General features: G+C 50.7%; 1 protein-coding gene across 3 annotated transcripts, besides 2 other annotated features; it reads left to right on the top strand.

The window, feature by feature from the left end:
* On the top strand, nucleotides 691-9,021 carry TAFA3 (TAFA chemokine like family member 3). 3 transcript variants are annotated; one of them, NR_169586.1, is made up of 6 exons: nucleotides 691-1,085; nucleotides 2,363-2,420; nucleotides 4,019-4,134; nucleotides 4,802-4,951; nucleotides 5,762-5,923; nucleotides 8,415-9,021. NR_169586.1 is itself a non-coding variant. In NM_001004440.2 (6 exons), exons 3-6 carry the CDS (start codon nucleotides 4,020-4,022, stop codon nucleotides 8,464-8,466), a joined length of 510 nt encoding a protein of 169 aa, NP_001004440.1. In that variant the 5' UTR covers nucleotides 691-1,085; nucleotides 2,363-2,420; nucleotide 4,019; the 3' UTR covers nucleotides 8,467-9,021. The 3 variants fall into 3 exon arrangements, 2 of the variants coding, with proteins under 2 accessions (NP_001004440.1, NP_877436.1); NM_001004440.2 differs by having other exon boundaries at nucleotides 5,731-5,923; NM_182759.3 differs by having other exon boundaries at nucleotides 5,799-5,923.
* Nucleotides 751-800: a silencer, noted in NCBI's record as "silent region_1205". NCBI's record gives its function as "represses an Ori minimal core promoter by ATAC-STARR-seq in GM12878 lymphoblastoid cells {active_cell/tissue: GM12878}" and the evidence as "EXISTENCE:reporter gene assay evidence [ECO:0000049][PMID:35858748]".
* Nucleotides 5,630-5,834: a silencer, noted in NCBI's record as "fragment chr1:113266466-113266670 (GRCh37/hg19 assembly coordinates)". NCBI's record gives its function as "represses an EF-1alpha promoter that drives an FKBP-Casp9 reporter gene in an ReSE screen in phorbol 12-myristate 13-acetate-treated (for megakaryocytic differentiation) K562 erythroleukemia cells {active_cell/tissue: K562(+PMA)}" and the evidence as "EXISTENCE:reporter gene assay evidence [ECO:0000049][PMID:32094911]".
* Nucleotides 9,022-12,930: the final 3,909 nt, after the last annotated feature.

The following is a 12,930-nucleotide window of genomic DNA, read 5'->3' on the forward strand; positions in this document are numbered from 1 at the left end:
AGAAACAAGAAACTAGGTCTCAGAATTTGGTTCCCATGTTGGTATTCACACTTAACATCCATAGGGACCATTCATAGCCTACTACTGTCCTCCTGCCTAATGCCCACACCCTCATACTTCCTCTAGCCCTCCCAGCCCCTGAGAGCACCACTCCTGGGAGAGGAAGAGATATTTACTATTCCCTCCTAAATATCATTCTAGAAGAGTGCTGCTGAACAGAACTTTGTGCACTGACGGGAATGTTCTACATCTGCTCTGTCCAATACAGCAGTCCCTATCTTCGTGTGGCTATTGAGCATTTGAAATATGGTGCCTACTAATGAGGAACTGAATTTTAAGTTTTATTTAATTAATTTAGATTTAAATTTAAATATCAACATGCCACTAGTGGCTACCGTATTGGACAATGCAGTTCTGCAATCTTCAAAGCTCAAAAACCCTGAGGGTCTAGTCAATCACTCCTCACTCCCAGCTCCTTTCCCCCCAGCACCTCCACCTCCCCTGAGCCAGGGCACTGGGGGCCACAAGACCTTCAGGGTTTTGAGGGACCTCCTCTGAGTTGCCACCACGGAGGTGTCCATCCTCACTGAACCTGCGGGTGCCGGATGTCCTCTCTCCCTTCCTCTTGCCCTCGGCCGCCAGGGGCCGCTGCGTCTCGGCTGTGCCCATCCGTTCAGCCGAGCGCCTGGCACTGTCCCGAAGGAGGCGGCGGCGCCCACGCGGGGCTGGAGGAGCGGGGGTAGCCCGGGGCGAGGCGGCGGTTGCGGCGGCGGCTGCGCGCTCCCCGGCCTGCCGGCAGGAACCTTGGAAAAAACCCGGCTGAGTTCTGCAGAGCTGGCGGGGCCGGGCCCAGAGCTCCCCTGTGCCCAGAGCCCGGCCCGCCCTGCGGATGATGCCAACCTGACCAGAACCCCGCTGTCCCGGGGGCGCAGCAACTTGGTGAAGGGGACAGGGCTCCGGACTAGACAGCACCCAAGCTGGCCGCTCCCTCCCAAAGTCTGTCTTTCGGAGTGCTGGTCCCTGGCTCAGTGGCAAGGAAGACTTCAGGCCAGCAGATCGAACCAGTGGGCATCACCGTGGACCAGGTAGGTCCCAGGTGTGGGGGCTCAGAATGTGGAGGAATGAGTAGGCGTTAGGGGGGTTTGTGGGGAGAGAAGGTGAAGAAAGGTTGAAGATTCTTGTGGTTCACATCCTCAAACCCTTGTAATGCAGGCTGCTAACTCAGCCTCACTAAACCCCTGGATTGGGATTTAGGAAAAATAGGCTAGGAAATTGAGGCAGGAGCATGGAAGTCGAAAAACACATCCCAGAAGCTTCTATGTCCAGCTGTTTCAGGGAGGGAGGGAATAGAATGCCAGGGATGAGAGCCCAAATGAACACCCCCACCCCTCTGCTCCCCACCCCACCAAGGTCTTTTGGGCCTTGGGGTTCCTAGGAGAGATGCCTGAGTTGGATTGGAGGATGTTGCAGCTCAGAGGGAAATAGGATCACCTGAGAGAAGACAAAGCTGCATTTGTGATGGTCAAAAGGAGGGTTCCTGGAGGGCAGGGAGAAGAGATCTCTACTCAGGAAAGAGGCACATCTAGAAGAGTGGGAAGCTCAGCCCAGGGAGCACACCCATCCCCTGGGAACTGGCACCTCTTCTCTGTGTTCCTCCAGATTCCCCTTATGCTCTCGCTCCTAGGAGCTAGGACTCAGGGGTCTCTGTCCTTCCGGGGCCCCACCATCCTATATGTTTCAGTTCTGCCTCCCTTTAGAGAGGTGAGGGAAGAGAGGTTCTTAGGGAGAAATGGAAAGCTATTGGAGGCTGTGGCCTTCAAAGGCTCAGGGACCTGGAGTGTCCCCATTCCAGCCCTCTGGTGTGGGAATGGGGGCAAGGGATGCTAAGCCAAGCCAGCTCCATGTGAGTCCAGGAAGCAGGTGCCATAGTGGGTAGGAGGTGGAAGCAAAGAGGATCAGGGCCTCAGGTATCTCCCACGTGCCTCTTCCAGCAGGAATCTGTCAGGTTCTGCTCCTTCCTTGACCCTCAGCTCCCTCCCAAGGCCAGAGAGATGACAGCTGTGATTCTTAGACCCCTCCCTACCATCACCCTGCTTCACTCTTGGGATAGAGAAACTCCCTCAGGCCACCCTTCTCAGGCTCACCACCCTGTGTGATCCCAGAGTCTGCAAGAGCCCCTCCAGATTCCCAGGCCAGAAGAGACTGTCCCTGCCCTGGCACCTGAGAACAGCTTCAGAATTGGGCTGAACTTCAGTGCCCAGCCCACCCCCTTGCCCTCTCCCAGGTTCTCCTTCACCCCCTGCAGAGCCATCGGCTCCCTCTATCCTTTGCAACCCCCTATGAATCTTTCCTACTTGTCCAGGTGGAGTGAGTCTGAGGACAGCAGATGAACAGACAGAAACTGAAAGATCCCCAAAAAGGTAAGTGGGGAGACATTGAAGATGGGGAGTAGCGGGGGTGGACAGAGATCAAGTACCCTATCTGAGGAGCAACTGGGTCCTAGCAGTTGGTTTGGCCTCTGGTATTCCCAAAGCTGCACTGGCACTTGTGGGGGCCCAGCAGTGGTCCAGGCTCACCCCTGAGCTTTTGGCCTTGCTGCATCCTGGGACTTCTCCTGCTCCCTTCAATGGCTGGGCAGCTCCTAGCTACTCTGTGCCTCTTGCTTCCTTAGGATTCCCTCCATTTCCAGCCTACCCTTCAGGGTAGCTTTGGGAGGCCCAAACCATCAACGATGAAAGAGGAAAAGGAAAGGGGAAGAGAACAGAGGCAAGGTGGTGCAGTGGGCAGAGGGCAGGCTTCTAGGCTCTGAACTCTTCCACCCACATGCTGCCTGGCCTTGGGCAAGTCATTTGACTTCTGTTAGCCTCGGTTTCACCTCTTCCTTTTTAAATTTAAATTCTGTTTAAATTGAAGTGCTACTGCATTCCCGTGGTTGGCAGCTCAAAAAGCAAGAAATAAATCAGGAGAAAAAGTCTCTCTTCTACCTCCATCTCCCAACCAACCAGTTTCCCTTTTGGATGGCAAACAATATTACTAGTTTTAAAATATATTTTTCAAAGCTAGTTTATGCATATCTGAGCAACATAGATAATCCTTCCTTTATACACATTTTATTTTATTTATTTTTGAGCTAGGGTCTCACTCTGTTGCCCAGGCTGGAGTGCAGTAGCACAGTCATAGATCACTGCAGCCTCAAACTCCTGATCCTCTCACCTCAGCCTCTGGAGTAGCTGGGACTATAGGTGTGCACCACCATGCCTGACTAATTTTTTAATTTTTTGTAGAGATGGGGTCTTGCTATGTTGCCTAGGCTGGTCTCGAACTTCTGGCCTCAAGTGATCCTCCTGCCTTGGCCTCCCAAAGTGCTGGAATTAGAGGCATGAACCACCACTCCTGGCCTGCCTTATACACATCGTATACACACCATTCTACACTTTGCTTTTTTTCCCCCTTAACAGTGGATTATCACTGGAGATCACTGCATGTGTCAGGACATAAAGCAATTCCCCATTGGTTTTTTTACAGCTATCTGGATGGGACTGCATTTGTACAGACTCTTTACGATGTATTCAGCCAGTCTTTTACTGATGGTTGTTTAGGTTATGTCCTAGCTTTTTGAGCTTTGGTTTTCTCATCTGTAAAACAGGTAATAATAATGTTGCTTTGTAGGACAGTTGTGAAGAATTCAAGAGTGTGCATGTGAAGTGCTGGAACCAAGCACTCAAAGAGTAGGAGTCAGTATTATTGTCCCTCCCATGTCACGACCCTCCATGGGCCCATAGCTAGTTCATCCTCCAAGATGCCTCTTAAATGTTGTCTCCTCCAAAGGCTCTCCTTTTCTTCCTGCAGCACTCACTACTGCCTGCATGACTCTGTGCCAGGTCGAAAGATGCCTGGGGACAAGGTGTGCCTCCTCCCCATCTTTGTGCCTCCCAGAGTGTGTGGCACAGAGAAGGTGCCCAGGTGCACAGGGGAGCTTCTGCCTGGAGCTGAGCAGAATGTGTGCTTCTCTCCGCAGGATGAGTGAGAGGGTCGAGCGGAACTGGAGCACGGGCGGCTGGCTGCTGGCACTGTGCCTGGCCTGGCTGTGGACCCACCTGACCTTGGCTGCCTTGCAGCCTCCCACTGCCACAGGTTTGGAGGAGGTGGCAGGGCCCGGGGAGGGAGTTTCCCAGGACACCTGGGGAGCTGGACACCACTCCACCGTGTTCCATAGCAGGCAGGTCTCCCAGGCAGAGTAAAATCCAGAGATTCTAGGGGTTCCGGCTCCTCCTCTGCTCTTTACCCAGGAATCTCTGCCCACCCCAGCTGTCCCGCCCCAGAGAAGGTCTGGGCAGACCCTTTGCTCACCTCTCCTTCCAGGCTGGAAGGTGTTCTGTAGTGAGAGAGGCCCTCGGGTGAGGGCTTATCTCTAGCCTCCTGGCCTAATTCTATGGTTTTCCTTCTGGGATGGCTAAAGCCTGTGTAAGCGGATGATCCTCCCCACGCATTGTAAGCCCTGGGGCCCTTGCCCTCACCCTGAGGAAGCTGGGGAGGCGGGGCTGGTGCGGGACTCTGTCTTCTGCCCAGGGGCCGTGCTCTGCCAAAGGGTGAAGAGCACAGGCCTCACAGGGGAGGGAGGAAGAATAGGAGCTCTGTGAAGCGGCGGGAAGATTTCATCCACTTCCTCCTCCCCTGCCACTGGCAGTCTCTTCCATAGCCCTCCCTGCAGCAGGGAGGAGGGGCTGGAGGCCAGCCCGGGTGGGCGGGAGGGAGCGGGGTCGGGCGTGTTGGGCGTCTGATCCTGGGCGGCTCCCCTCAGTGCTTGTGCAGCAGGGCACCTGCGAGGTGATTGCGGCTCACCGCTGCTGCAACCGGAACCGCATCGAGGAGCGCTCCCAGACGGTGAAATGCTCCTGTTTTTCTGGCCAGGTGGCCGGCACCACGCGGGCAAAGCCCTCCTGCGTGGACGGTGAGTGAGAGGCCAGGACCCGGGCAGGGCCCTGAGCAGAGCCATAAGGAGGCCTGTTCAGGCCTCGCCATCTGCTGGGGATACAATTTCATACCCGTCTCAGGGCTTTCATGAGCAGTCTCAAATGGTGGGGCCCCCTCTGGGAGAAGAGGGCAGACGTGGCCATCCCTGTGTCATAGATGAGAAAAGCTCTTGTTATGCGCACAGCCTCCCACACTCACGTGCCCTCTGCCTGTTGCACACACAGGAGCGTTCCCTCACACAGCCCCACTCCTCTCCCCACACACTTCCTCCAGCTCCTTCCCCTGCTGCTCCTTCCCCTGGCTGTCTCAGCCTACTCTCCTCTCCTTCTCAGCCCTTCTCTCACACTTTCCTATGTGGACACGTGTGATCCTTCACACCCACACTCATTACCCTAACACTCATTTGGCACCCCATACACATGCCCACTGTGTCACGCGCATACCAGCTATGCCAGCTATGCACTCCTGGTCTGTAGACCCCTCCAGACGACTCACACCCTTGCTCACACACCACAGAGGGAGTATACTGGTTGTGCATCGATGCTAGTGACATGGTCACCTTAGAGACATTTTTGCCTGCCTTCACCCGTCACTGTCTGGGGAGATGCAGGGATCGGTGGGATTAAAGTTGAGAGGGTTACGTCCCCAGGCCTCAGGCTGAGTACTGCCTCTCTGGGCAGCCTGGAGTAGGGGAAAGACAAGGGAAATGCATGGCTCAAGGCCAGGGGTGTGTGGAAACGTGCACCTCATTCGCAGACCTGCTCTTGGCTGCCCACTGTGCTCGTAGAGACCCTAGAGCTGCACTCCGCCTCCTGCTCCCACAGCCTCCATCGTCCTGCAGAGATGGTGGTGTCAGATGGAGCCCTGCCTGCCGGGGGAGGAGTGTAAGGTGCTCCCGGACCTGTCGGGATGGAGCTGCAGCAGTGGACACAAAGTCAAAACCACCAAGGTACCCTGGGTGGGCACCTCATCCCACCCTCCCCTTCCCTCTCTACCAAGGGCAGAAAAGGGGGCACAGGAGCCTTGGAGGTCTAGGATGTCAGTGTCCCAAGGTGAGATCGTGAACCATGAAATTCACAGACAGTCCTCTCAGGTCTGTTCTCACTGGGGACTGGAGTTAGGGGGGTCAGGACTTGAAATCCAGTGTGTCCTGGGAAGATTCTTGATGTCCATATACGCTGGTTTCCTCCTGTCTGCCTGGAATTAGTTTGCCTCCAGAAAATATCAGGCCTATAAAAACATAGTCCATGGAATACTATGCAGCCATAAAAAATGATGAGTTCATGTCCTTTGTAGGGACATGGATGAAATTGGAAATCATCATTCTCAGTAAACTATCGCAAGAACAAAAAACCAAACACCGCATATTCTCACTCATAGGTGGGAACTGAACAATGAGATCACATGGACACAGGAAGGGGAATATCACACTCTGGGGACTGTGGTGGGGTGGGGGGAGGGGGGAGGGGTAGCATTGGGAGATATACCTAATGCTAGATGACGAGTTAGTGGGTGCAGCGCACCAGCATGGCACATGTATACATATGTAACTAACCTGCACAATGTGCACATGTACCCTAAAACGTAAAGTATAATTTAAAAAAAAAAAAACAACATATTAGAGCAGCAAAAAAAAAAAAAAAAAAAAAAAAGAGCTTAAAACAGAACTACCATTCAACCCAGCCATCCTATTACTGGTATATACCCAAAGGAAAATAAATCATTTTGCCAAAAAGACACATGCACTTGTATGTTCATCAAAGCAGTATTCATAATAGCAAGGGCATATAATCAGTCTAGGTGCCAATCAACATTGAATAGGATAAAGAAAATGTGGCACTTATATACCATAGAATACTACACAGCCATAAAAAAAATAATGTTTTCTGTAACACCCTGGTTGCAGCTGAAGGCCATGATCCTAAGGGACTTAGCATGGCAACGGAAAATCAAATACCACATGTTCTCACTTCTGAGAGCTAAACATTGGGTACACATGGACATAAAGATGGGAACAGTGGACGATGGTGACTACCAGAGCAGTGAGAGAGGGAGGGGAGCAAGGGCTGAAAAACTACCTATTGGGTCCTATGCTTACTACATGGGTAATGAGATCAATGGCACTCCAAACCTCAGTGTCATGCAATATACTCATGTAACAAACCTGCACATGTAATCCCTGAATCTAAAATAAAAGTTGAAATATTAAAAAAAAAAAAAAAAAAAACATAGTCGAGAATGGGAAAAATTATAAGATAATTGAGGGAGGAATTGCTACTTCTACCTGAGCTCCAGGTACAGTAGTCACTCTGTCACTCACCTCTGCCGTGACCATCCCCCACCCCCACCCCATTCCCACTGTTGTTGACTCCCTACAGTTCATACCTACCCTCCTCTAGTCAGATTTCTCTGTCCACTGTCACAGCACCCAAGAGGATTATTATTTTCATGGTTTGCTGCCTGCTCCACAGAACAAGGGGTAATTAAATTTTTTATCAAACTCGTTAGCAGCTCCATGTGTGTCATGGCTAATCAGCCGCATTGCTCTGCCGTCACCATTGGTACAGAAGAGTGACACTGCAGGGCAAGCCAGGGTTCTGCCTTTGGCTTTCCTTCCCTCCCACCACACACAGCAAACAAGCAAACACATAAGAAAATAGAGAAGGAGGGCTGGGTGCGGTGGCTCATGCCTGTAATCCCAGCACTTTGGGAGACAGAGGTGGGTGAATCAAGAGGTCAGGAGTTCAAGACCAACCTGGTCAACATGGTGAAAACCCGTCTCTACTAAAAATACAAAAATTAGCTGGGCATAATGGCACACGCCTGTAATCCCAGCTACTTGGGAGGCTGAGGCAGGAGAATTGCTTGAACCTAGGAGGCAGAAGTTGCGGTAAGCAGAGATCATGCCACTGCACTCCAGTCTGGGCGACAGAGTGAGACTCCATCTCAAAAAAAGAAAAAAAGAAAAAAAAATAGAGAAGGAAAGGCAGCCTTTGGCTTCTGAAGAGAGCAACCATTTTCACAGAGCACACAACAAAAGGAGCTACAGCAAGAAAAAGTTTGGCTCTAAAGTAGAGCATCCTCTCTCTATCCGGAGGCAGGGATGAGGGACAGCCATTCTGAGTATATTTAAGATCAGAAGAGAATGAGACCCACTACAGAGCTTGTGACATTTGTCACCATGTTATAGGTTTGGGTTTGTGGCCTGTAAGGAAGTGCTTGCAATTTGGGTAGCTACTCTGAAGCAAACAGTGGGGAGGCTTGTCTGACGTATGTTTGCATGGGTCACCAGGCCATGCTTTCCCATTCCGGCCTGCTTTAGGGTGAGAGGATTGGCAGCAATGTCCTCTAAGTGACCTGCATATTCTGGGTAGTCTCTGGCATGCTGGAATGGAATAGGCATTCCCTTCTCTAACCTTACCCTCTCGCTTCTTCACCAGGTCACACGATAGCTCTTGGGGGTCACGGCCTGGACAAGAAAGGCTTGACTGAGCCGTGAACTGAAGAATGGTATCCAGTCATCAGCCAGGAAAGATGGGGATTCACTTACATGCCTCATGTCAAATGCAGCATCAGTCTTTCCGGGGCATTTCAGTTAAGCTGCTCAGCAGATATGGATGGATCTGCAATCACATACCTAATGTGGAGCTGGGCTTTTCTGGAGACACGAAGGTCAACACACAATTCCTGCCCTTAAGGAATGTCCAGTTGAATTGGAGAGTTGATGACAGACAATTTAGATAATTTAGGTTAAAGTACTTGATACCAGACTGCGGCTTCTGGGCCACATGCTATGGCATGATGGGGGTTTGGGAATGAGATTCCCACAGTTCTTCAGATACCCTGTGGCCACAGGGCATAGAAACAAGAGGTCACATTCAGCACCCACCACCTCCCTCTTTCGCATCAGTTCTGAATCCCCAGCAAGCTGTTAACATGTTGCAGGAAAACACTCTCCCCTTATGCCAGACCAGCAGTATCTCATTTGGATGGGATTGGATTGACTTGCGGAAGGAAAGTAAAAATAAAGCCAAATAACTTCCCAAATCTTTGGCACAGGTATGGGCCATTCATTGGGTATGGGATGGACAGGACTTTAAAATCATCTCCATCCAAGCACCTCAGGTTTTTGTTTGTTTGCTTATTTTAACAGATGAGGAAGCAGCTCCAGAGAGGTGAGGCAGTTTGCCCAAGATCTCATAGCCTGGGCTCCCAGACCTCTAAGACTGATGACTTTCCACTAGCCTGAATAATAGGATTCCAACGTAGGCCTCCCATGTTAATTTTATGTCAAGTTACTGGAACCAGCAAAGTACAGGCTGGACAGCAGCAACATTTTTCTTGGGAGATGCTAGAGCAGAGACTTTTACTAAGGTCACTGTTCTCCTGTCTGAAATAATCCAGAATATCCACACACCGGGATGTGGGACCATCTGGTCTCCACTCTACTCTCATCCTCCAAATTTCAAGCAGGCCTTATGACACCCAGAGGTCACTCAACTCAGTTACAGCTGGGGCTCAGCTGGCATCTCCATTGCCCACTCTGACCCATCTCTTCTGGGGTCTTTGGGCTATGATTCTCAGAAGGTCTGGCTCCAGGAGAAATTCTGGGTGGGATGTAGAACTGGTTAGAGTCTTCTCTTTTCAAAGGCCCCTGCTGGGCAGCAGGGGTGGAAGGCTAGAGCCTCCGTTTAGAATTAAAGGTCAGTGCAGTCAGGCTGACACTAGATGGCTCAGGGATGACACATAGGCTTCAGGGACTCAGAGGCATGGGCTACTTAGATATCTCATCAGTAAGAGAATTGCAGCCTCTGAGACTGTGGGTGTTGAGATCACCAAGGCCTTAGGGAGGGGGGTGTCAGTAGAGACCCACCTGGACGATGCTGAATTCTGACCCTCAGAAAGACAAATCAGATGATAGTTTGTGGCTGAGTCTCAGCTTCTCCCTCCCTCCCTGCTCAGTAGAACCAAGACTGATATTCCCCTTTTCTTGCCCTACTCCAGTTTATTTTCTTGTTTTTGACAATGGGGTGAACAATGGTGCCAGCTTCTTACTAGAGTGTAAATATCAGAACTCACAACTCAGAATCTCTGCCGATGGTGGGCTCATGGGGTGGGGTAGGTAGGGAGTTGGTCAAAGATCGTCCCCTCTCCCCTCTCCCCTCTCCCCTCTCCCCTCTCCCCTCTCCCCTCTCCCCTCTTCCCTCTTCCCTCTTCCCTCTCCTGCCATGATCTCAGCTCGCTGCAACCTCCCTGCCTCGGACTCCCGTGATTGGCCTGCCGAGTGCCTGGGATTGCAGGCACGCGCCGCCACACCTGACTGGTTTTTGTATTTTTGGTGGAGACGGGGTTTCGCCGTGTTGACTGGGCTAGTCTCCAGCTCCTGACCTCGAGTGATCTGCCCGCCTTGGCCTCCCGAGGTGCTGGGATTGCAGACGGAGTCTCGCTCACTCAGTGCTCAATGTTGCCCAGGCTGGAGTGCAGTGGCGTGATCTCGGCTCGCTACAACCTTCACCTCCCAGCCGCCTGGCTTGGCCTCCCAAAGTGCTAAGATTACAGCCTCTGCCTGGCCGCCACCCCATCTGGGAAGTGAGGAGCGCCTCTGCCCGGCCGCCGCCCCGTCTAGGAAGTGAGGAGCGCCTCTGCCTGGCCGCTGTGCAATCTTCCAAGTGTGAAGTGACAGCCTTTCTGCAGGTGTACCCAACAGCTCCGAAGAGACAGTGACCATCGAGAACAGGCCATGATGACGATGGCGGTTTTGTCGAAAAGAAAAGGGGGAAATGTTGGGAAAAGAAAGAGAGGTCAGATTGTTACTGTGTCTGTGTAGAAAGAAGTAGACATAGGAGACTCCATTTTGTTCTGTACTAAGTAAAATTCTTCTGCCTTGGGATGCTGTTAATCTATAACCTTACCCCCAACCCTGTGCTCTCTGAAACATGTGCTGTGTCAACTCAGGGTTAAATGGATTAAGGGCGGTGCAAGATGTGCTTTGTTAAACAGATGCTTGAAGGCAGCATGCTCTTTTAAGAGTCATCACAACTCCCTAATCTTAAGTACCCAGGGACACAAACACTGCAGAAGGAAAGCCGCAGGGACCTCTGCCTAGGAAAACCAGAGACCTTTGTTCACATGTTTATCTGCTGACCTTCTCTCCACTATTTTCCTATGACCCTGCCACATCCCCCTCTCCGAGAAACACCCAAGAATGATCAATAAATACTAAAATAAATAAATAAATAAATAAAATAAAATAGTGGCTAGACAGAAAAAAAAAAAGAAGAAGATCGTCATTACCTCCTTTAAGGTTGGAGGATGGAGGGTGGGGATGGATTAAGGGATTGGCAAACATTTTCTGGAAAAGGCCAGATAGTAAATATTTCAAGCTTGGCAGCTCACATACAGTCTCTGTTGCATACTCTTTGTTTTTATTGTTGATTTTTTGTTTGTTTGTTTGTTTCATTTTGTTTTAAAATATCTTTAATATACAAAAGCTAGTCTTATTAATAGCTCAAGTCTTAGCTGTATAGAAACAGAATCTGGGTCTGTTTCAGAAGGATGCCAATCTGATGAACCTTTGAAGGCAGGCCATCTCTGCAGTGTGGGACTGCCTCCCAGCCTCCTTGCCTGACTTCTGTGCAATGGGAACCTGAGCATGAGGGCTGGGTCAGGTTTTGTTTTTCTCCTAATGCTTCTTGAGAGATTGGTGAGTGAATTATTTAGGCTACAAATGAGACAGCTTTAGCAGAGTCAGACAATAACAGCCTGTTCTCCTGGAGGCCAGAATAGGGGCTTTTCTCCAGTCATTCTGCACCCTCAAGACTGTGTCCAGGAAGGAGGGAGAGGGCTCGAGCCCCCTGCCCATCTGCTGCATCCACAAGCTGGTGGGCTCTGAGCTGGGGATTGAGCCTGAGAGCAGGGATCATGCTATACAAACTCTCTCCTGAGTTGCCAACCACTGCCAGCCTCTGCCTCAGCCAAAGTCTGGGTTCTGCAACCTTCCCTGACCTCCCTCACCCCTGCTACAGAGAAGACCTCTTTCCTTTGACACATGCTGGAATTTGCTAACTCCTAATTCATTTTTTTTAACTCCTCAAGCCTTCATTTCCTCCTTACCTTTTCATATATTTTTTTGGTGGGCCTTGAGGGGTATCTTTTATATAGCCAGAAGACCCCTACATAGGAGGGTCTGATGGAGAAGGGAAAGTGTCCCACCTCCCCCACAATAGCATCCTAGGGTCCTGTTTCCAACTGAATCAATATTTATGTGCGTTTTTTAGCTACAGTTTAAAAATGCAAATTAATTTTCCTGGAACATAGGGTTCCTGGAGTCATTTATCTTCCTCTTCTCCCCTTACTGGATTGGAATCTCAGTCCCTGAAGTTAGCTGGTACCCACACTGTCCTCAGCTGTGAAGGCCTTAGGAAGGTTACCAACCACAGGAGATCATGTGGCTAACTTCTGTTGGCATCCTAGCAGTTTCATTGAGGCCTATGAGTGACATCCTAATTAACGGTCCCCAGACAGTTGCCTGGATTGAGGCTGCAACTTCCTAAAATCACAAGCTTACAGCTAGAAGGGATTTTAATGTTTTCTTTCTTTCTTTTTTTTTTTTTTTTTTTTTTTTTTTTTTTTTTTTGAGACAGTGTCTCCCTCTGTTGCCCAGGCTGGAGTACAGTGGCATAATCATGGCTTACTGCAGCCTTGGCCTCTTGGGCTCAAGCAATCCTCTCACCTCAGCTTCCTGAGTAGCTGGCACTAATGGCATGTGCTGCCACATCCTTTTTTTTTTTTTTGTAGAATAGAGACAGGGTCTTCCTATGTTGCCCAGACTGGTCTTGTCTTGAACGTCCGGCCTCGAGCAATCCTCCTGCCTCAGCCTCCCAAAGTGCTGCGATTACAGGTGTGAGGCACCACACCCAGCTTGCAAGGGATTTTAGAGACCAGTTAGCCAACTCC

The sequence above is a fragment of the Homo sapiens genome, chromosome 1 (assembly GCF_000001405.40).
Source record: "Homo sapiens chromosome 1, GRCh38.p14 Primary Assembly".
Classification (NCBI taxonomy): Eukaryota; Metazoa; Chordata; class Mammalia; order Primates; family Hominidae; genus Homo; species Homo sapiens.